The following is a 21,469-nucleotide window of genomic DNA, read 5'->3' on the forward strand; positions in this document are numbered from 1 at the left end:
CACAATGTGTGCAAACTCCTCAAATCCCAATACTGTGTGCAACCTCCTCAAATCCCCCCACTGTGCGCAACCTCCTCATATCCCCCGACTGTTTACAACCTTCCCAAATCTCCCCACTGTGAGCAACCTCCCCAAATCCCCCACTGTGTGCAACCTCCCCAAATCCGCCCACTGTGTGCAACCTCCCCAAATCCCCCCACTGTGCGCAACCTCCCCAAATCCTCCCACTGTGCGCAACCTCCCCAAATCCCCCCGACTCTGTGCAACCTCCCCCATCCCTCCATGTGCAAACCTCCAAATCCCCCCACTGTGTGCAACCTCCTCAAATCCCCCCACTGTGTGCAACCTCCTCAAATCCCCCCGATGTGTGCAACACCCCCAAGTCCCCCCCACTGTGAGCAACCACCCCAGTCCCCCCACAGTGTGCAAACACCCCACATCTCCCCCACTGTGAGCAAAACCACAAATCCCCCCAGTGTGTGCAACCTCAATTCCCCCCACTGTGTGCAACCCCCCAAATGCCCCCCAATGTGAGCAACCCCCCCAAATCAACATGCTGTGTGAAACCTCAAATCCCCCAACTGTGTGCAACCTCCCCAAATCCCCTCCACTGTGTGCAACCTCAAGTCCGCCACTGTGTGCAACCCCCGCAAATCCTCCCAGTGTTCGCAACCTCCTCAAATCCTCTCACTGTGTGCAACCTTCTCAAATCCCACGCCACTGTGAGCAACCTCCACAAATCCCCCCAACTCTGTGCAACCTCCCCAAATCTCCCCAGTGTGTGCAACTTCCCTAAATCCCCCAAACTGTGTTCATCCTCCCCAAATCCCCCCCCCACTGTATGCAACCTCCCCAAATCCCACCTAATGTGTGCAACATCCTCAAATCCCCACCACTCTGTGCAACCTCCCCAAATCCCCCCCAATCTATGCAACCTCCCCAAATCCCCCCCAATCTATGCAACCTCCCCAAATCCTCCCCACTCTGTGCAACCTCCCCAAATCCCCTGCTTTGTGGGCAATGTCACAAAATCCCCCGGTGTGTGCAACCTCCCCAAATCCCCTCCACTCTGTGCAACCTCCACAAATCCCCCACACTCTGTGCAACCTACTCAAATCCCCACACTGTGTGCAACCTCCTCAAATCCCCCCCACTGTGTGCAACCTCCTCAAATCCCCCCACTGTGAGCAACCTCCTCAAATCCCCTCACTGTGTGCCACCTCCCCAAATCCCCCCACTTTCTGCAACCTCCGCAAATACCCCCACTGTGTGCAACCTCCTCAAATCCCCCCACTCTGTGCAACCTCCCCTATCCCTCCCACTGTGTGCAACCGCCCCAAATCCCCCAACTATATGCAACCTACTCAAATCCCCCCACTGTGTGCAACCTCCCCAAAACCCCCACTGTGAGCAACCTCCCCAAATCCCCTCACTGTGTAACCTCCCCAAATCCCCTCACTGTGTAACCTCCCAAAATACCCCCCGTGAGCAACCTCCCCAAATCCCCGCACTGTGTGCAACCACCCCAAATCCCCCCCACTGTGTGCAACCTCCTCAAATCCTCCGCCACTGTGAGCAACCTCCTCAAATACCCCACTGTGTGCAACCTCCTCAAATCCCCCCATCTGTGTGCGACCTCCCCAAATCCTCCCAGTGTGTGCAACTTCCCTAAATCCCTCCAACTGTGTTCAGCTTCCCCAAATACCAACTGTGTGCAACCTCCTCACATCCCCACCACTCTGTGCAACCTCTCCAAGTCACCCCTACTCTCTGCAGACTCCCCAAATCCCCCCCCAATCTGTGCAACCTCCCCAAATCCCACCCAATTGTGGGCAACCACACAAAATCCCGCCACTGTGTGCAACCTCACCAAATTTCTCCCACTCTGGGCAACCTCCCCAAATCCCCCCCACTCTGTGCAACCTCCCAAAATCCCACACACTGTATGCAACCTCCTCAAATCCCCATACTGTGTGCAACCTCCTCAAATCCCCCCCACTGTGTTCAACCTCCTCAAATCCCCCCACTGCGTGCAACCTCCTCAAATCCCCCCAATGTGAGCAACCTCCTCAAATCCCCCCACTGCGTGCAACCTCCTCAAATACCCCACTGCGTGCAACCTCCTCAAATCCCCCCAATGTGAGGAACCTCCTCAAATCCTCCCACTATGTGCAACCTCCTCAAATCTCCCCACTGTGTGCAACCCCCCCAGATCTCCCCCACTGTGAGCAAAAGCACAAATCCCCCACTGTGTGCAACATTCCTCAAATCCCCGCACTGTGTGCAACCCAACCAAATCTCACCCACTGTGAGCAAACCCCCACATCCCCCCACTGTGTGCAACCTCCTCCAATCCCCCCACTGTGTGAAACCTCCCCAAATCCCCCCAATGTAGGCAACCCCCCAAATCTCCCCCACAGTGAGCAAAAACACAAATTCCCCCACTGTGTGCAACCTCCACAAATCCTCCCAAGTCTGCAACCCCCCAAGTCCCCCCATTGTGAGCAACCACCCCAAATCCCGCCACTGTGTGCAACCTCCTCAAATCACCCGGTGTGCAACCTGCTCAAATCCCCCCACTGTGTGCAACCTCCTCAAATCTCTCAACTGTGTGCAACCTCCTCAAATCCCCCCTTCTGTGCAATTTCCCCAAATTCCAACTGTGTACAACCTCCTCAAATCCCTCCCACTCTTTGCAAACTCCCCAAATCGCCCCACTCTGTGCAACCGCCCCAAATCTACCCCAGTCTGTGAAACCTCCCCAAATCCCCCCCACTGTGTGCAACCTCACCACATCCACCACTGTGTGCAACCTCCCCAAATCCCCCCTACCTTGTGCAACCTCCCCAAATCCCACCCACTCTGTGCAACCTCCCCAAATCCCCCACACTGTGTGCAGCCTCCTCAAATCCCCCCACTGTGTGCAACCTCCTCCAATCCCCCCACTGTGAGCAACCTCCCCAAATCCTCCTACTGTGTGCAACCTCCTCAAATCCCCCACTGTGTGCAACCTCCCCAAATCCTCTCCACTGTGTGCAACCTCCTCACGTCCCCCACTGTGTGCAACCCCCACAAATCCTCCCAGTGTGCGCATCCTCCTAAAATCCCCCCACTGTGAGTAACCTCCTAAAATCCCCCCACTGTGAGTAACCTCCTCAAATCCCAACTCTGTGCAACCTCCCCAAATCTCCCCAGTGTGTGCAACTTCCCTAAATCCCCCCAACTGTGTTTAACCTCTCCAAATCCCCCCACTGTGTGCAACCTCCCCGAATCCCCCCACTGTGTGCAACCTCCCTGAATCCCCCCACTGTGTGCAGCCTCTCCAAATCCCCCCCACTCTGTGCAACCTCCTCAAATCCCCCCCACTGTGTGCAACCGTGCTAAATCCCCCCACTCTGTGCAACCTCCTCAAATCCCCCCACTGTGTGCAACCTCCCCAAATCCCCCCACTGTGTGCAACGTCCCCAAATTCCCCCACTGTGTGCAACCTCCCCAAATCCCCCCACTATGTGCAACGTCCCCAAATCCCCCCACTGTCTGCAACATCCCCAAATGCCCCCACTGTGAGCAACCTTCCCAAATCCCCCCACTGTGTGCAATCTCCCCATATCCCCCCACTGTGAGCAACCTCCCCAAATCCCACTTGTTGCAACCTCCCCAAATCCCCCCACTGTGAGCAATCTCCCCAAATGCCCCACCGTGTGCAACCTCCTCAAATCCCCCACCACTCAGAGCAACCTTCTCAAATCCCCCCAATGTGAGCAACCTCCTCAAATCCCCGTACTGTGTGCAACCTCCTATCACCCCCACTGTGTGCAACCTCCTCAAATCCCCCCACTGCGTGCAACCTCCTCAAATCCCCCCACTGTGAGCAATCTCCTCAAATCCCCCCACTGTGTGCAACCTCCTCTAATCCCCCCACTGTGAGCAACCTCCCCAAATCCCTCCCATTGTGTGCAGCCTCCCCAAATCCCCCCGACGCTGTGCAACCTCCCAAAATTGCCCCCACTGTGTGCAACCTCCTCAAATCCCTCCCACTCTGTGCAAACTCCCCAAACCCCCCCCTTGCAGCCTCCCCATATCCCCCCAACTCTGTGCAACCTCCCGAAAACACCCCTCACTGTGTGCAACCTCGCCCAATCACGACACTGTGTGCAACCTCCCCAAATCACCCCCACTCTCTGCAACCTCCCCAAGTCTCCCACACTCTGTGCAACCTCCTCAAATCCCCCCACTGTTTGCAACCTCCCAAAATCTCCCTATGCGCAACCTCGCAAAATCTCCCCCACTATGTGCAACCTCCTCAAATCCCCCCACTGTGTCCAACCTCCCCAAATCCCTCCCACTGTGTGCAACCTCCTCTAGTCCCCCACTGTGTGCACCCCCCAAAAATCCCCCCACTGTGTGCAACCTCCTCAAATCCCCCGCCAGTGTGAGCAACCTCCTAAAATCCCCACACTGTGAGAAACCTCCTCAAATCCCCCCAAGTGTGTGCAACGTCCCCAAATATCCCCAGTGTGTGCAACTTCCCTAAATCCCCTAAACTGTATTCAACCTCTCCAAATCCCCACCACTGTGTGCAACCTCCCGAAATCCCATCAACTGTGTGCAACATCCTCAAATCCCCCTCACTCTGTGCAACCTCCCCAAATCTCCCCCACTCTGTGCAACCCCCCCAAATCCCCCCCATTGTGGGCAACGTCACAAAATCCCACGATGTGTGCAACCTCCCCAAATCCCCCACACTCTGTGCAACCTCCCCAACTCCCCGACTCTCTGCAACCTCCCCAAATCCCCCACACTGTGTGCAACCTTCTCAAATCCCCCTACTGTGTGCAACCTCCTCAAATCCCCCCCACTGTGTGCAACCTCCTCAAATCCCCCCCACTGTGTGCAACCTCCTCAAATCCCCCCATGGGGGGCAACGTCCTCAAATCCCCCGACTGTGTGCAACCTCCTGAAATCCCTTCACTGCGTGCAACCTCCCCAAATACCCCCACTGTGTGCAACCTCCGCAAATCCCCCCACTGTGTGCAACCTCCCCAAATCCCCCCCACTCTGTGCGACCTCCCCAAATCCCCCCACTATGTGCGACCTCCTCAAATCCCCCCAGTATGTGCAACCTCCTCAAATCCCTCCACTCTGTGCAACCTCACCCTATCTTTCCCACTGTGTGCAACCCCCCCAAATACCCCCACTATGTGCAACCTCCTCAAATCCCCCCACTGTGTGCAACCTCCCCAAATCCCCCCACTGTGTGCAACCTCCCCAAAACCCCCCACTGTGTGCAACCTCCCCAAATCCCCCCCACTGTGAGCAACCTCCCCAAATCCCCACACTGTCTGCAACCACCCCAAATCGCCCCCACTGTGTGCAACCGCCTCATATTCCCCCCACTGTGTGGACCCTTCTCAAATCCCCCCTAATGTCAGCAACTTCCCTAAATCCCCCAACTGTGTTCAACCTCCCCAAATCCCTCCCACTGTGTGCAGCCTCCCCAAATCCTCCCGACTCTGTGCAACCTCCCAAAATTGCCCCCACTGTGTTCAACCTCCCCAAATCCCTCCCACTGTGAGCAACCTCCCCAAATCCCTCCCACTGTGTGCAGCCTCCCCAAATCCTCCCGACTCTGTGCAACCTCCCAAAATTGCCCCCACTGTGTGCAACCTCCTCAAATCCCTCCCACTCTGTGCAAACTCCCCAAACCCCCACACTCTGTGCAACCGCCCCATATCCCCCCCACTCTGTGCAACCTCCCCAAAACACCCCTCAATGTGTGCAACCTCGCCCAATCACGACACTGTGTGCAATCTCCCCAAATCCCGCCCACTCTTTGCAACCTCGCCAAATCCCCCCCACTCTCTGCAACCTCCCCAAATCACCCCCACTCTCTGTAACCTCCCCAAATCACCCCCACTCTCTGCAACCTCCCCAAATCACCCCCACTCTCTGCAACCTCCCCAAATCACCCCCACTCTCTGCAACCTCCCCAAATCCCTCACACTGTGTGCAACCTCCTCAAATCACCCTACTGTGTGCAACCTCCTCAAATCACCCCCACTGTGTGCAACCTCCTCAAATCCCCCCACTGCGAGCAACCTCCTCAAATCTCCCCACTGTGTGCAACCTCCCAAAATCTCCCCTATTGTGTGCAACGTCCTCAAATCCCCTCACTGTGTGCAACCTCCCCAAATACCCCCCACTGTGTGCACCTTCCTCAAGTCCCCCACTGTGTGCAACCCCCACAAATCCCCCCACTGTGCGCAACCTCCTCTAATCCCCTCACTGTGTGCAACCTACACAAATGCCCCCCACAGTGCGCAACCTCCTCAAATCCCCCACCACTGTGAGCAACCTCCTCAAATCCCCCCACTGCCTGCAACCTCCTCAAATCCCCCCACTGTGTGCAACCTCCTCAAGTCCCCCACTGTGTGCAACCCCCACAAAACTCCCACTGTGCGCAACCTCCTCTAATCCCCTGTGTGCAACCTCCACAAATACCCCCCACAGTGCGCAACCTCCTCAAATCCCCCACCACTGTGAGCAACCTCCCCAAATCCCCCCACTGTGAGTAACCTCCTGCAATTGCCCCGCACTGTGCAACCTCCTCAAATCCCCCCCACAGTGCAAAACCTCCTCAAAACCCCCGCCACTCTGAGCAACCTCCTCAAATACCCCACTGTCAGCAACCTCCTCAAATCCCCCCAACTGTGTGCGACCTCCCCAAATCCCCCCCACAGTGTGCAATCTCCACAAATCCCCCCCCACTCTGTACAACCTCCCCAAACCCCCCCAACTGTGTACAACTTCCTCACAACCACCCACTCTGTGCAACCTCCCCAAATCCCCCACTGTGAGCAACCTTCCCAAATCCCCCCACTGTGTGCAATCTCCCCATATCCCCCCACTGTGAGCAACCTCCCCAAATCCCCCACACTATGTGCAACCTCCTCAAATCCCCCCACTCTGCACAATCTCCCCAAATCCCCCCCACTCTGCGCAACCTCCTCAAATACCCCCAGTTTGCAACCTCCCAAAATCTCCCTATGTGCAACCTCGCAAAATCTCCCCCACTATGTGCAACCTCCTCAAATCCCCCCACTGTGTCCAGCCTCCCCAAATCCCTCCCACTGTGTGCAACCTCCTCTAGTCCCCCACTGTGTGCACCCCCCAAAAATCCCCCCACTGTGTGCAACCTCCTCAAATCCCCCTACTGCGAGCAACCTCCTCAAATCTCTCCACTGTGTGCAACCTCCCCAAATCCCCCACTGTGTGCAACGTCCCCAAATCCCCCCACTGTGAGCAACCTTCCCAAATCCCCCCACTGTGTGCAATCTCCCCATATCCCCCCATATCCCCCCACTGTGAGCAACCTCCCCAAATCCCCCACACTATGTGCAACCTCCTCAAATCCCCCCACTCTGCACAATCTCCCCAAATCCCCCCCACTCTGCGCAACCTCCTCAAATCCCCCCACTGTGTGCAACCTTCCCAAATCCCCCCACTGTGTGCAACCTCCTCAAATCCCCACACTGTTTGCAACCTCCTCAAATCCCCCCAAATGTGTGCAACCTCCCGAAATCGCCCCCACTGTGTGCAACCTCCCCAAATCCCCCCAACTGTTTGGAACCTCCTCAAATCCCCCCACTGTGTGCAACCTCCCGAAATCCCCCCAACTTTGTGCAACCTCCCCAAATGCCCACTGTGTGCAACGTCCCGAAATCCCCCCCACTCTGTGCAACCTCCCCAAATCCCCGCCACTCTGTGAAACCTCCCCCATCCCTTCCAGTTTGTGCACCCCCCCAAATCCCCCCACTATGTGACACCTCCTCAAATCCCCCCACTGTGAGCAACCTCCTGAAATCCCTCTCACTGCGTGCAACTTCCTCAAATTCCTCCCCCACTCTGAGTAGCCTCCTCAAATCCCCCCCAGTGTGTGCAACGTCCCCAAATCGCCCCACTGTGTGCATTCTCCTCAAATGCCCCTAGCTTTGTGAAACCTCCCCAAATCCCCCCCACTCTGTGTGCAACCTCCCCAGATCTCCTTTCTGTGCAACCTCCATAAATCCAACCAAATGTATGCAACCTCCTCAAATCCCCACCACTCTGTGCAACCTCCCCAAATCCCCATCACTCTGTGTAATCTCCCCAAATCCCCCCCAATCTGTGCAACCTCCCCAAATCCCACCACTGTGTTCAACCTCCCCGAATACCCACCACTCTGTGCAACCTCCCCAAAACGCCCCCACTCTGTGCAACCTCCCCAAATCCCCCCAACTGTTTGCAACCTCCCAAATCCCCCCCAATGCGAGCAACCTCCCAAATCCCCCGTGTGCAACCCCCCAATCTCCCCCACTGTGTGCAACCTCCTCAAATCCCCCATCACTCAGAGCAACCTTCTCAAATCCCCCCAATATGAGCAACCTCCTCACATCCCCCTCGCTGTGCGCAACCTCATCAAATTTTCCCACTGTGTGCAACTTCCCTAAGTCGTCCAACTGTGTTCAACCTCCCCAAATCCCTCCAACTGTGTGCAACCTCCCCAAATCCGCCCCCACCCTGTGCAGCCTCACAAAATTACCCCCAGTGCAATCTCAAATCCCTCCCACTCTGTGCAAACTCCCCAAACCCCCCACGCAGTGTGCAACTTCCCCAAATCCCTCCCACTCTGTGCAACCTCCCCAAATCCCTACCACTCTGTGCAACTTCCCCAAATCCGCCCACACTGTGCAACCGCACCAAATCGCGCCACTGTGTGCAACCTCCACAAATCCCGCCCACTCTGTGCAATGTCCCCAAATACCCCCCCCACTCTGTGCAACTTCCAAAAATCCCCCACACAGTGTGCAACCTCCTCAATTCCCTCTAGTGTGTGCAACCTCCTCAAATCTCCCCCACTGTGTGCAACCTCCTCAAATATCCCCACTGTGGGTAACCTCCCCAAATCCCCCCCACTGTGTGCAACCTCAAGTCCCCCACTGTGTGTAACCCCCCCAAATCCCACCACTGTGCACAACCTCCTCTAATCTGTTCACTGTGTGCAACCTCCCCAAATCCCTCCCCAATGTGTGCAGTCTCCTCAAATCCTCCGCCACTGTGAGCAACCTCCTCAAATCCCCCCAGTGTGTGCAATTTCCCTAAATCGCCGCAAGTGTGTACAACCTCCCCAAATCCCCCCCACTGTGTGCAACCTCCCCAAATCTCCCCCACTCTGTGCACCTTCCCCAAATCTACCTAACTCTGTGTAACCTCCTCACATCCCCCCACTCTGTGCAACCTCCCCAAATCCCCCCCCCCCCCATTGTGGGCAACCACACCAAATCCCGCCACTTGTGCAACCTCATCAATTTCCCCCCATTCTGTGCAACCTCCCCAAATCCACCCCACTCTGTGCAACCTCCCAAAATCCCCCATACTGTATGCAACCTCCTCAAATCCCTGTACTGTGTGCAACCTCCTCAAATCCCCCCCACTGTATGCAACCTACTCAAATCCCCCCACTGTGTGCAACCTCCTCAAATCTCCCCACTGTGAGCAACCTCCCCAAATCCCCCTACTGTGTGCAACCTCCCCAAATCCCCCCCACTCTGTGCAACCTCCCCAAATCAGCCCCACTCCGTGCAACCTCCGCCTATCCCTCCCACTGGGTGCAACCTCCCCAAATCCCCGTGTGCCACTTCCCCAAATCACCACATTGTGAGCAACCTCCCCAAATCCCCCCACTGCGAAGACCTCCTCAAATTGCCCCGCAGTGTACAACCTCCTCAAATCCTCCCTCGCTGTGTGCAACCTCCTCAAATCCCCCCACTCTGTGCAACCTCCCCACATGCCCCCAGTGTGTGCAACCTCCCGAAATCCACCCAGTGTGTGCAACCTCCCCAAATCCCCCCACTCTGTGCAACCTCCCGAAATCCCCCCAACTCTGTGCAACCTCCGCCATCCCTCCCACTGTGTGCAACCTGCTCAAATCCCCAAACTGTGTGCAACCTCCCCGAATCCCCCCAACTTTGTGCAACCTCAAGTCCCCGAATGTGTGCAACCCCCCCAAATCCCGTGTGCAACCTCCCCAAATCCCCCACACTATGTGCAACCTCCTCAAATCCCCCCACTCTGCACAATCTCCCCAAATCCCCCCCACTCTGCGCAACCTCCTCAAATCCCCCCACTGTGTGCAACCTCCTCAAATCCCCCCACTGTGTGCAACCTTCCCAAATCCCCCCACTGTGTGCAACCTTCCCAAATCCCCCCATTATGTGCAACCTCCCCAAATCCCCCAATCTATGCAACCTCCCCGTTCCCCCCAATGTGTTCAAGCCCCCCAAATCCCCCCACTGTGTGCAACCTCCCGAAATCGCCCCCACTGTGTGCAACCTCCCCAAATCCCCCCAACTGTTTGGAACCTCCTCAAATCCCCCCACTGTGTGCAACCTCCCGAAATCCCCCCAACTTTGTGCAACCTCCCCAAATGCCCACTGTGTGCAACGTCCCGAAATCCCCCCCACTCTGTGCAACCTCCCCAAATCCCCGCCACTCTGTGAAACCTCCCCCATCCCTTCCAGTTTGTGCACCCCCCCAAATCCCCCCACTATGTGACACCTCCTCAAATCCCCCCACTGTGAGCAACCTCCTGAAATCCCTCTCACTGCGTGCAACTTCCTCAAATTCCTCCCCCACTCTGAGTAGCCTCCTCAAATCCCCCCCAGTGTGTGCAACGTCCCCAAATCGCCCCACTGTGTGCATTCTCCTCAAATGCCCCTAGCTTTGTGAAACCTCCCCAAATCCCCCCCCCCACTGTGTGCAACCTCCCCAGATCTCCTTTCTGTGCAACCTCCATAAATCCAACCAAATGTATGCAACCTCCTCAAATCCCCACCACTCTGTGCAACCTCCCCAAATCCCCATCACTCTGTGTAATCTCCCCAAATCCCCCGCAATCTGTGCAACCTCCCCAAATCCCCCCCACTGTGTGCAACCTCCCCAAATCCCGCCACTGTGTTCAACCTCCCCGAATACCCACCACTCTGTGCAACCTCCCCAAATCCCAACTGTTTGCAACCTCCCAAATCCCCCCCAATGTGAGCAACCTCTCAAATCCCCCTGTGTGCAACCCCCCAATCTCCCCCACTGTGTGCAACCTCAAATCCCCCCACTGTGTGCAACGTCCTCAAATACCCCCACTGTGTGCAACCTCCCCAAATCCCTGCCACTGTGTGCAACCTCACCAAATCCGTCCACTGTGTGCAACCTCCCTAGATCCCCCCTATGTGCAACCTCCGCAAATACCCCCACTCTGTGCAAGTGCCCCCTATTTCCCCAACTGTGTAGCAACCTCCCCAAATCCCCCCACTGTGTGCCACCTCCCCAAATCCCCCAACTGTTTCGAACCACCTCAAATCCCCCCACTGTGTGCAACCTCCCCAAATCCCCCCCACCCTCTGCAACGTCCCCAAACCTACTCTGTCCAACCTCCCCAAATCCTCCACTCTGTTCGACCTCCGCCTATCGCCCTACTGTGTGCAACTCCCTCAAATCCCCCCACTGTGAGCAACCTCCCCAAACCCTCCCATTGTGTGCAAACTCCCAAATCTCCCCACTGTGTGCAACCTCCTCAAATTCTTCCACTCTGTGCAGCCTCCCCAAATCCCCCCAACTCTGTGCAACCTCCGCCTATCCCCCCCAGTGTGCAACCTCCTGAAATCCCCCAACTGTGTTCAACACCCCCAAATCCCCCCATTGTGTGCAAACTCCTCAAATCACCCCGCTGTGTGCAACATCCCCAGATCCCCCCCAATGTGTGCAACCTCCGCAAATCCCCCTACTCTGTGGAACCTCCTCAAATCCCAACTGTGAGCGACCTCCCCAAATCCCCCAACTGTCTGCAAACTCCCCACATCTCCCTCACTGAGTACAACCTCCCCAAATCCCCCCATTGTGAGCAATGTCCCCAAATCCCCCCACTGTGAGCAACCTCCTCAAATCCCCCCACTGTGTGCAATCTCAAATCCCCCCCACTGTGTGCAACCTCCTCAAATCCCCACCACTCTGTGCAACCTGCCCAATTTCCCCCACTCTGCAACCTCCCGAAATCCCCCGTAGTGTGTGCAACCTTCTCAAATCCCCCCACTCTGTGCAACCCCCCCAAATCCCTCTACTGTGTGCCACCTCAAGTCCCCCCACTGTGTGCAACCTCCTCAAATCCCCCACACTGTGTGCAGCCTCCTCAAATCCTCCCCACTGTGTGCAACCTCCTCAAATCCCCGCACTGTGTTCAACCTTCTCAAATACCCCATACTGTGTACAACCTCCTCAAATCCCCCCTGCAGGGAGTGGCTTCTCCCTGTGAATCTCTCCTCCCTTCTTTGCCCAGAAGCATGTCTCAATTAGTAAGAGTGCAGTTAATATTTCTCATCTTAAGGTGGTGCTCCGACCTGATACAAAGGAAAGCGGGTTGAATTCAGAGGCACGGGCATACCCTGTCCTTGTTTCTAAAGTGTTCATGAAGAAGATCGAATTCAAATGGTGAAATATCCATATATGCAATTGTATAGAAAAGTCAGGATTATTTGACAAGGATTGTTTTTGATGCTTTTATGCAATTCAGAACCTCAATGAATATAGAAAATAATTTAAAAAGACATAAGAGCTCTCTAGATTGAAATAAGCATGGTGCTTATAAAACAATGGTGAACAGTGAATGCCAATTATTTTAATTTAAATTTCTATTATGCAGCAAATTCATAAAATGGGGAAAGTCTTTTTTCAACATTTCCAAGACATGCTCTGTTAAGACATGGTTGCTTCAGGTGGCTTTTACTTGGGATATTGAGAGGTAAGGCAGAGTGGTGATGGTTCAGGCTGAGGAGGGCGAGGGCTGCCATAACAAAGAACCACACGTTTGGTGGCTTAAAGCAACAGACGTTGATGTTCTCACAGTTCTGGAGACCAGAAGAGCAAGTCACGGTGTTGGCAGGGCTTTGCTCCCCCCGAAGGTTGGAAGGACGAATGCGCCTTGCACATCCAGCCTTTGGTGCCCTGCTGGTGTTCACTGGCATTGCTTGGCCTACAGACTCCTCACGCCAACCTCTCCCTCTGTCTTTACCCGGCCTTCTCCCCTGCGTGTCTGTATTCAAATGCCCCTATTCCTATAAGGGCACCAGTCCTGCTGGATTCCAGGTTCCACCCTACCCCAGTATAGACTCACCCTAACTAATTACATCTGAAAAAAACCTTACTTCCAGGCAAGGTAACATTCCCAAGTTCTGGGTGGATGTGACTTTGAAATGATTATCAAGTAGATCCAGTTCCGTTTACAGTAATGAGCAGACAGTGAATGAGAAATTAATGTGCTTTCACATCGCACGAACACCTGACCTTCACTGAATTTTAATAGAAGCTGGCATTGGTGCTAACTCCTTACAGACTTTATGTCAGTGTATTCTCACTGAAGGAAGTTGCTATTTTATCCCACTTTACGAATGAGAAAACTGAGATGCGGAGAGGTCACCAAGTCAAACTCAAGCGACACCCCAGCCCCCCTCGGTGATCAGGCTGAAGCGATGACTAAATGCCATTTGCTCCTAATGACACCGTCACAAGCACTGAAGCCACCAAGGACCGTTGGGCCTGTACAGAGGAGAGGCAGACTCAGGCCCTCCCCACTGACAGGAGGGCTGTCTTCCATGTACACCTAGGTCGGAGTCCGCAAGGGTGGGGCGGTGACGGTGCACTGGACTTTGCTGGCGGTGCTGGAATGGCTATGCGGAGGGCGCTGTGGTGCGGGGACTGCGCTCCCCAGGAGGACCTCGGGAGTTGTTTGTTTGTAGGTATTACAGTATTGTCTAACGTTGCCGCGTTGACACAGGGTCACGGGAAGCCACCTCCAGGGCCTGTGGTCCTCTTCAGGCAGGCGGGGCGGGGAATGCTCAGGACCGGTGATGATGGTGCCATGCAGAGTTCAGGGATGAATGACCACCAAGGCAAGGGAAGGAGTCCAGCAGCTCAGTATTTGGGGAATGGGGGCGGGGGCAGGTAAAAACGCAGAATCAAGGGAAACAAACAGCTGGAAAATATAGTAGCTGTTAAGTTCTGATGGAAAAGCTGTTTTGTACTTACAGTTAAATCCCACAGTATTTGTGATGTATTTCCGGGTAACTTGCTCTTCCCTCCTCAAAAGGTCCCAGCCTCACCAGAGCTTCCCTTCCTGCACCGGCCCCAGCTCTCCACGCCTCCCAGAGACCAGGGGGCCTCCACCCTTGCTCCTCTGGGACGGCGCTTCCTCCCCCTCATCTCCAGGTCGGGGCTGGGGTCTTCAGGCTCAGGTTGAAGATGCTGTTGGGCCCTTTGCCTGTACAGGGATGGCGCCCGACCCAGGAAAAGCCTAACGTTGTCTGTCATTTGGATGCGTCTCTTGGCAGTGACTGGGGGGAAATCCTCACTGCAGCCCGCGTCCCTTGCATGATTGTTGTAAGAAAGCCCCAGCTCAGCTGCGTGGAGACAGGGTCCTCTTGGCTGCAAATTCTAAAATCATTTTTCCTATGAAGAGAGCAGTGCTAATTTTTTCCAAAATATATCAGATTATGATCGACTTGACTGAAGTGTGAAATGAAAGTGGGTTGGAGTGTTCCTGCCAAAGACAAGCACGGCTGCCTTGCCGTCGCTCGTGCCGTGCTCTCTACCCTCCACAGTCACGGTGCCGGACCCTCTCCCGATAACTGGACACGTGTCTCCCACAGGACACGCACTGGCACTAAATCCACACTGCCCATCTCGGAGACAGGCGGAGGAACTCCCGAGCTGAGATGCGGAAAGCACCAGGCCGTAGGGACCTCACCGCAGCGGGCCGCAGCTCAGGACTCGGAGCAGGTGGGCCACACCATGCCGCATGTTTCCAGCTGCCACCGCAGTGGTTGGACAGGATCTGGGTGTCGGAGCAGCTCTGCTGGGGCTCCCTGCATATTTCTGTTTACTCCGTGTTTCCTAGTCCGTTCTGCACCTTCCTCCGGGAGGTTTTATTTACAAGCTAATGACAGTGAGCCAGAATGTGAGCCTGCTTAGTGAGAGGAATGAAGATGCCTTCCATTTGTACAAACCGGTTCCAAAACTAAGGGCTCACTTTCAGGCGTTTGCTTCCACTTAATCTGAGGATCGGCTGGAAGCACAGGAGAGGAAGGAGAAGCTGAAGCAAAACCCTGACTTTTAAATTCTGATTTTTAAGTGGAATAGTTATAATCAGTGTGGAAAAATGTGTATGTTTATGTTTTACCCCCTTACCTTGTATGCAGAACCCCAAGGGAGGCCATATCAAAAACTCACTTGTGTAAGTCTGACTTTTGAACTGAGAGAAGCAGAGAGCAGAACAGTGGCCTCCAGAGGGGAGTGGGGAGGTGCTGGTCACAGGCACAAAGTCTCAGGCAGGAGGAGGGCGCCTCAGGTCTGCTGCACGGCATGGGGCGCACGCTTCCTCATAATGATCGCATGTTTCAAAATTGCTAAAACAATAGGTTTTTTTTTTTTTGAGATAGAGTCTTGCTCTGTCGCCCAGACTGGAGTGCAGTGGCACAAACATAGCTCACTGCAGCTTCGACCCTCCTGCTCAAGCAATCCTCTTGCCTCAGCCTCTTGCGTGGCTGGGTCTACAGGCGCTCACCACCATGCCTGGCTAATTTTTAAATTTTTTACAGAGATGCAGCCTCGCTATGCTGCCCAGGCTGGTGTTGAGCCCTTAGGCCCAAGAGATCCTCCAGTCTGAAACTCCCAAAGTGCTGGGACCACAGCCACCCACTAAAATAATAGATTTTAAATGTTCTAACTGCCAAAAAAAGATGTGAGGTGATATGTTAATTAATTTGATATAATCTCTCCACAATGTAAAGGTATCAAAACCATGTTTAAAACATAAATATATGCAGTTAGTATTTGTCAACTAAAAATACAAATTTTAATTTAAACAAAGTCACTTACTTGCATACAGGAGGGGGGCATTGCCAACATGATCGGTCTCCCTTCTGAAATTCAGTGTGAGATTAGATCCTGTCCTCGGAGATAAGCAGAGCCCAGGGTCGTTCTGCTGAGAGCACATTCGTCTTTGCACCTGGCTCCCACGCATGGAACCAAAAGGACCTGGCCTGGAAGTGAGGCTCTTTGTGAATTTAAATAGCTTTTCCAGCCACAGCAAGGGCAGTGCCAGCAAGTCCCCTGGGCCCCTAATTAGTCTGACTGACACCAGGGGCAAGGCCAGGCGTTCTGTTCATCTGTGGTCGCAGGGACCTGTGTGCTCAGCACGGCTTCTTCCTGAAGGACCCTGCCTGCGGATTGCAGATCCCACTCTGTGAGTAGGAACCTTTGCCACGTGGATCCTCTGTGGCCTCCTGCAAACAAGCATTTGTCCGGAAGCCAGAAACTTCCCTCCAGCATGACAAGCAAGAAGGATGGCTCATCTCGCCAGCGGTCCTTTGTGAAAAGAGCTCCTGTCCAGGCCCTTCTGTCTTGTATCAAGTGTGTGCTGTTACTGGAGCAGTCAGAATTCAGACGTTATTAATGTTTGTTCTGCATTTTTGCAGGAGAGTGCTGGGATGGAAGGCCGGGATACTCACAGGCTGCCGAGAGCCCTCTGAGGGCAAAGTGGCAGGACACTGCAGAACAGCTTCATGTTCCCAAAATCACCGTACGACTCTTTTCCAAACACAGGCAAATCCGAAATCAGCAGGACGACTGTTTTCCCAACACGGGTAAATCTAGTACCATGTCGTAGTTACTCTCAGGCATGGATGAATAAATGTTATAGCTGCATTTGTCTGGCCTTTTCTTGTAAACATTGCCTGATTTGTTCCTTCTGGGGCTTTGCCATTAAAATGTATTTACAGATTACACATCTTTATTTTGTGAACCCTGGAAACACCACTCTTGCAATCCTCCTGTCTCCACCTTCTGGCATCTCTGATGCCGTGCTCGTCTGCACTCTGCCCCGGCGGTCCCTCCAGCACTGGTTTTTCCACACCCCCTGCCCATCACCAGGTGTCCACAGGGCCTACATCTGGCTTCCCTCTTCTCCTGGGAAGAGCACTCCTGGCTTCCTGCAGGGCCGGTGGGAGGAGGAAAGTGATTCTGAGGGAGAGGCTGGAGCCTTAAGGACCAACAAGGCAAAGTGACTTGTCTCATCCTCCAGAGATTCACCAACACATGAGCCTCAGACCCCAGGCTTCTGCCTCCAGCAGCCGCCCTGCCGCACACTGCTCTTACTCCTCCTTATACCCTCACTCACGGGGAACACAGCCCAGTGATCCCGGAGGAAACTCACTCCCTCCCTGACTCAACAAGGCAGTCTCGGGGGCACCGTTAGCCACGCGACCCTGTAAAGCTGCCGTCCTCATTTCACATGTGAAGCAGCTGAATTCCAGAGTGCTGGGTCCCAGCCCAGGCAGCCCTCAGCCTCACGCAAGGCAATAGTTAGGAGTCCTTCGGCATTGAAAGCAAACTCAGACACATCTGACCTGGAGTTCTACCTGCACTAAGAGAAGAGAGTGGTAACTAATTCATGGATAAAACAGACCATCGAGGCAGCACTGAATGATCTCACCCACGAATGACAACAGTGGCACAGGAGGGCTATGAACATTTTGCTTCAGGATGTTTTATTTCGCTCTACTGTTATGTAGAGAAAGCATGGTTTGCTTTTTATAACTTTTGTGACCCAAAAATACCAGACTGTTGTTTTCCCTAGGTGCCAGGCCATCCTGTTCTGTGTGTTCCCAAACTCTTAGTTTTGTTCATGTAAAACTCATGATTTCATAATTAAAACAATATTAAAATAAAACTCATGAATGATTTCATAATTAAAACAATATTAAAAATATCCTGGCAAATTTCACAAATTGCCCTTATCACACCGGTAAGCAGCCCGTTCTCACACTGCCATAAAGAACCACTGAGACTGGGTCATTTAGAAAGAAAAGAGTTTTAACTGGCTCTGGGTTGCGCAGGTGGTGCAGGACGCATGGTGCTGCCATCTGCTCGGCTTCTGGGGAGGCCTCTGGAAACACAGTCATGGTGGAAGGGGCAGGGTAGGAGGCCCATCACAGGCTGGGAGCCAGGAGCCGGGAGGCAGAGGGGCAGCCACACATGGAGACCACCAGATGGCAGGGGACTCACTGCACAGGACCAAGAGGGGTGGTGCTGGACCCTTCCTGAGAACCCACCCTGTGATCCCACCGCCTCCCAACAGGCCCCTCCTCCAACACTGGGAGTGACAATTCCACATGAGACTGGGTGGGACACAGACCAAACCATATCAACACCCAGGGAAGGGACAGGACCCAGCTTCTGCAGAGGAGCTGCTGAGAGTTCCCATCAGCAGGTGAGGAGAGACGCAGGGAATCGCAGCAACGCACAACACATCAGCACCCGCTCTGGGCAGTGAAGGGAGGTGGCCGCCCAACCTCAGGATCATTTCCACGAAGGGAACACAGGCCTCCTACTTCCAGCTGCTGCCCTGCCATGCACTGGAACACACTGACTGGGGAGCGGTCTTCCCTTCCACCTCGGAGCCTCTTGCTGACACCAAAACAAGGAACCCTGGCTTGATGCGGTGCCTGCATGACCTCTGCCCTCTGGGATTAGCCAGAAGGAGTAGTGCCATATAGTGATGGTTAACACCAGGCCTCAACCTGGCTGGCTGGAGGGAGGCCCAGCTGGCCGGTGAGATCTTGTCTCAGCCTCAGCTAGATGGATGGATAAGAGGATGAGCTGTTTTGGAGGAGACTGGGCTGTGAGTCAGCAGACTGAGGGGGAAGACCTGCCTGAATGCAGGGTAGGCACCATCCAATCCCGGATAGAACTAAAAGGTAGCTGTGTCTGTCTCCTAGAGCTGGGACACCCTTCTTCTCCTGCCCTTGGACATCAGCACTCTAGCCTCTTGGCCTTCAGACTCTGGGCTTGCACTAGCACTCCCTGCCCTGGGCTCTCAGGCCTTCAGCCTTGGACTGAGTCATGCCATTGTCTTCCCTGGCTCTGAGGCCTTGCAACTCGGGTCCTGAGTCACATGACCGGCATCCCAGAGTGTCCAGCTCTAAGACAGCCTGTCCTGGGACTTCTCACCTCCACCATCACATGAGCCAGTGCTCCTATTGAATATCCTCTTTCCATCCACCTAGTTAGCTATCTGTTTGTCTATCTATCTATCTATCTATCTATCTACTCTAAGACAGGCTGTCCTGGGACTTCTCACCTCCACCATCACATGAGCCCATTCTCCTACTGAATATCCTCTTTCCATCCATCTAGCTAGCTATCTGTTTATCTATTATTATCTATCTATCTATCACCTGTCTATCTATATAGCTACCTACCTATGTAGCCTATTGGTTCTGTCTCACTGCAGAGCCCTGACTATAGTGATACACATATTTTAAGAGTCCCTGGATGATTACACACTGATGGCTCACAACCTTGACAATCCCCGATGATGGGATCAGCCTTAATTCGTCTGCAGCATCTTCACAGTGCTACAATCCTGACACTCCTTGGGGTCAAAGAGTTTTAGAGTATTAGTTACTTAATGGGTATAATGATCTTGGTTGATATGCTGCCAGGATTTGTAACAATTTTGCCAAATCTCAATCGATTTAAAGATCTAACTGAGAAGATTGTGCCTGGCTAAGTATCCAGGGAGTTGGTCAGCTTCCTTCCCAGGTCTTTCTGTGTCTGTCACACCATCCACTCACTTTGATTATTTCTGTTGGGCCACTCACAGGAGAATTTCAGGCAAACTGGCCGCGGCTTTGGCCTCTTACTGGGATAATTGGTACCGTGTTAGCCCTGGAGAACACCCCAAGGTCACTCTGTACAGCCCCTTGATTTTGGAGAGGAAATAGCTGAGTCCCAGGCATTGGAAGTGAATTGCTTAGAGTCACGTAACAAATTTAAGTTCAGGAAGAGATGACAACACACTTCACCATCAGCACTTGGTAAGACTGCCTCACCCCTGCCACGGCGCTAACAGCCCACATCTCTACCAAATTGTGTTTGCTATTTGGGTGGCTGCTGCTTCCATATTAAACATTCTGCTATTCGTGAATGACTCTGGCCAAATTAATGAAAGCCATACAGCCTGCTGGGCTTGTAACACCCATTCCTTATGAATATTACACATGTTGGACCACGTTCACCCAGCAGTCCCCCAGGAGCGGGGGTTCTGAGTGTATGGGGCCCTACAAGTCATAGGTATCTCACTAAGGATGTAATTTCTGAGTGAATTGACCTTTCCTTCGTGAAAAAGAAAGAGGGAAATTGTATCCTAGCAAATGCGGGTTTCCATGAGCAGACACCCCCACCTGCTGGGTGACTTGGGAAACAGCAGAATCACCATTTTTCCTGACCTGCATCTTCCTTCCGCTCAAAGAGCACACGTGTCTGTTTCGTTCCAGGGCGCTGGATACATGCGTTGCACATGGAAACCTTATTATTGTACTTTTTGGGTTTTTCATGCTTATAGTTAAACATCACCACTTTCTCACTCAGCTGTGAATGTCAAGAGCCTTGTGCCCTGTGGGCTTACTGAGCTCTGGAATAAGGGAGAGAACCTCATGACATCCATGTCAGCAATAGCTTTGCAGATGCCTTCGCAAAAGCCACAGACCCCAGACATGCTAAGGACAGGAACTGCTCATTGCTTACGGACTTACTTACCCGAGCATCCACTTAGGGCCGACAGACGGTAAGATTGACGAGAAGGCCAGGAAAGGACAAAGGCTGGAAGGTGCATGTCCTCCGCACCTGCAGGCAGCTGCTGAGTTCAAACAGTGAAGGGCGTCGGGCCCAGAGAGAGCCCAGAGCCTCTGTGAACCTGGAGCTTTCCTAATAAAGTGTGCTCCCTGGGCAGTGAGAGTTTCTACAGAATGCGTGGTGTGGCCTCGGACTCAGGGGTGTGCGTCCTCCCTGTGGACAGATGGATGAAGCGGAAACTCCAGACAGACGGAAGCACGGTCTATGAAGAAAGCCTACCCAGGACACAGCACACGTGGAGATGTCAGCACATGCGGGGTTTGGGAGAGGCTCACGGTCTCTTCGCTCATGACTTCCTGCAACCAAGAATGCAATCTGCAGTTAGGGCACCGGACTGGGGGTCGTGGAGGAACACTATCCCTAGGGTTAGGGGGAGCACTATCCCTGGGAGTCAAGGAGGGAGCACTGTTCTTGGGGTTGGGGGCAGCTCCAGGCCTGGGGAAAGTGGGAGCACGACCCCTGGTGGAGCGGGGAGGGAGCACTTGACCTGGGGCTGGGAGAGACAAGTAGGTCTTGGGTTTGGGGTTCAGACCCTGCAGGTTTCCGTCTCTGCCTGTGTTGGTTTCCCGGGGTTGCGTCATGGACTCCCACACACAGGGTGGCCCCACACAGGGAATGGACACTGTCCCCGTGGCAGAGTCCAGCACTCCCAGGTGGAGGTGTCTGTGGGGCCGCGCTCCCTCTGGAGGCT

At 54.0% G+C, this 21,469-nt stretch overlaps 1 protein-coding gene and 1 long non-coding RNA gene across 25 annotated transcripts in view, besides 1 other annotated feature; one reads left to right on the top strand and one right to left on the bottom strand.

Moving 5' to 3' along the window:
- Positions 1–17,812, top strand: part of TPO (thyroid peroxidase) — a 169,627-nt gene extending 151,815 nt beyond the window's left edge. For 9 of the 21 annotated variants that reach the window (XM_047445652.1, XM_047445655.1, XM_047445654.1 and 6 more), the window contains one exon: positions 14,733–15,967. In XM_047445652.1, coding sequence (XP_047301608.1) covers positions 14,733–15,054 — 322 coding nt within the window. In that variant the 3' untranslated portion in view covers positions 15,055–15,967. Of the gene's footprint in view, positions 1–14,732; positions 15,968–16,559 lie in introns of those variants that run through there. The other 12 variants (XM_024453090.2, XM_024453091.2, XM_024453092.2 and 9 more) reach the window with 3 other exon arrangements.
- The window catches only part of LALTOP (lung cancer associated lncRNA targeting TOP2A), a 140,518-nt gene that overhangs the window by 40,960 nt on the left and 78,089 nt on the right, over positions 1–21,469 (bottom strand). For 2 of the 4 annotated variants that reach the window (NR_198948.1, NR_198950.1), the window contains exon 5: positions 20,683–21,074. This is a non-coding gene — a long non-coding RNA (lung cancer associated lncRNA targeting TOP2A). Of the gene's footprint in view, positions 1–15,960; positions 17,073–17,613; positions 21,075–21,469 lie in introns of those variants that run through there. The other 2 variants (NR_198949.1, NR_198951.1) reach the window with 2 other exon arrangements.
- Positions 14,643–15,842: an enhancer, noted in NCBI's record as "CDK7 strongly-dependent group 2 enhancer chr2:1544276-1545475 (GRCh37/hg19 assembly coordinates)". NCBI's record gives its function as "activates an origin of replication core promoter dependent on BRD2, BRD4, P300/CBP, MED14 and CDK7 cofactors, with strong dependence on CDK7, by STARR-seq in HCT116 cells {active_cell/tissue: HCT116}" and the evidence as "EXISTENCE:reporter gene assay evidence [ECO:0000049][PMID:35650434]".

The sequence above is a fragment of the Homo sapiens genome, chromosome 2 (genome assembly GCF_000001405.40).
Source record: "Homo sapiens chromosome 2, GRCh38.p14 Primary Assembly".
Classification (NCBI taxonomy): Eukaryota; Metazoa; Chordata; class Mammalia; order Primates; family Hominidae; genus Homo; species Homo sapiens.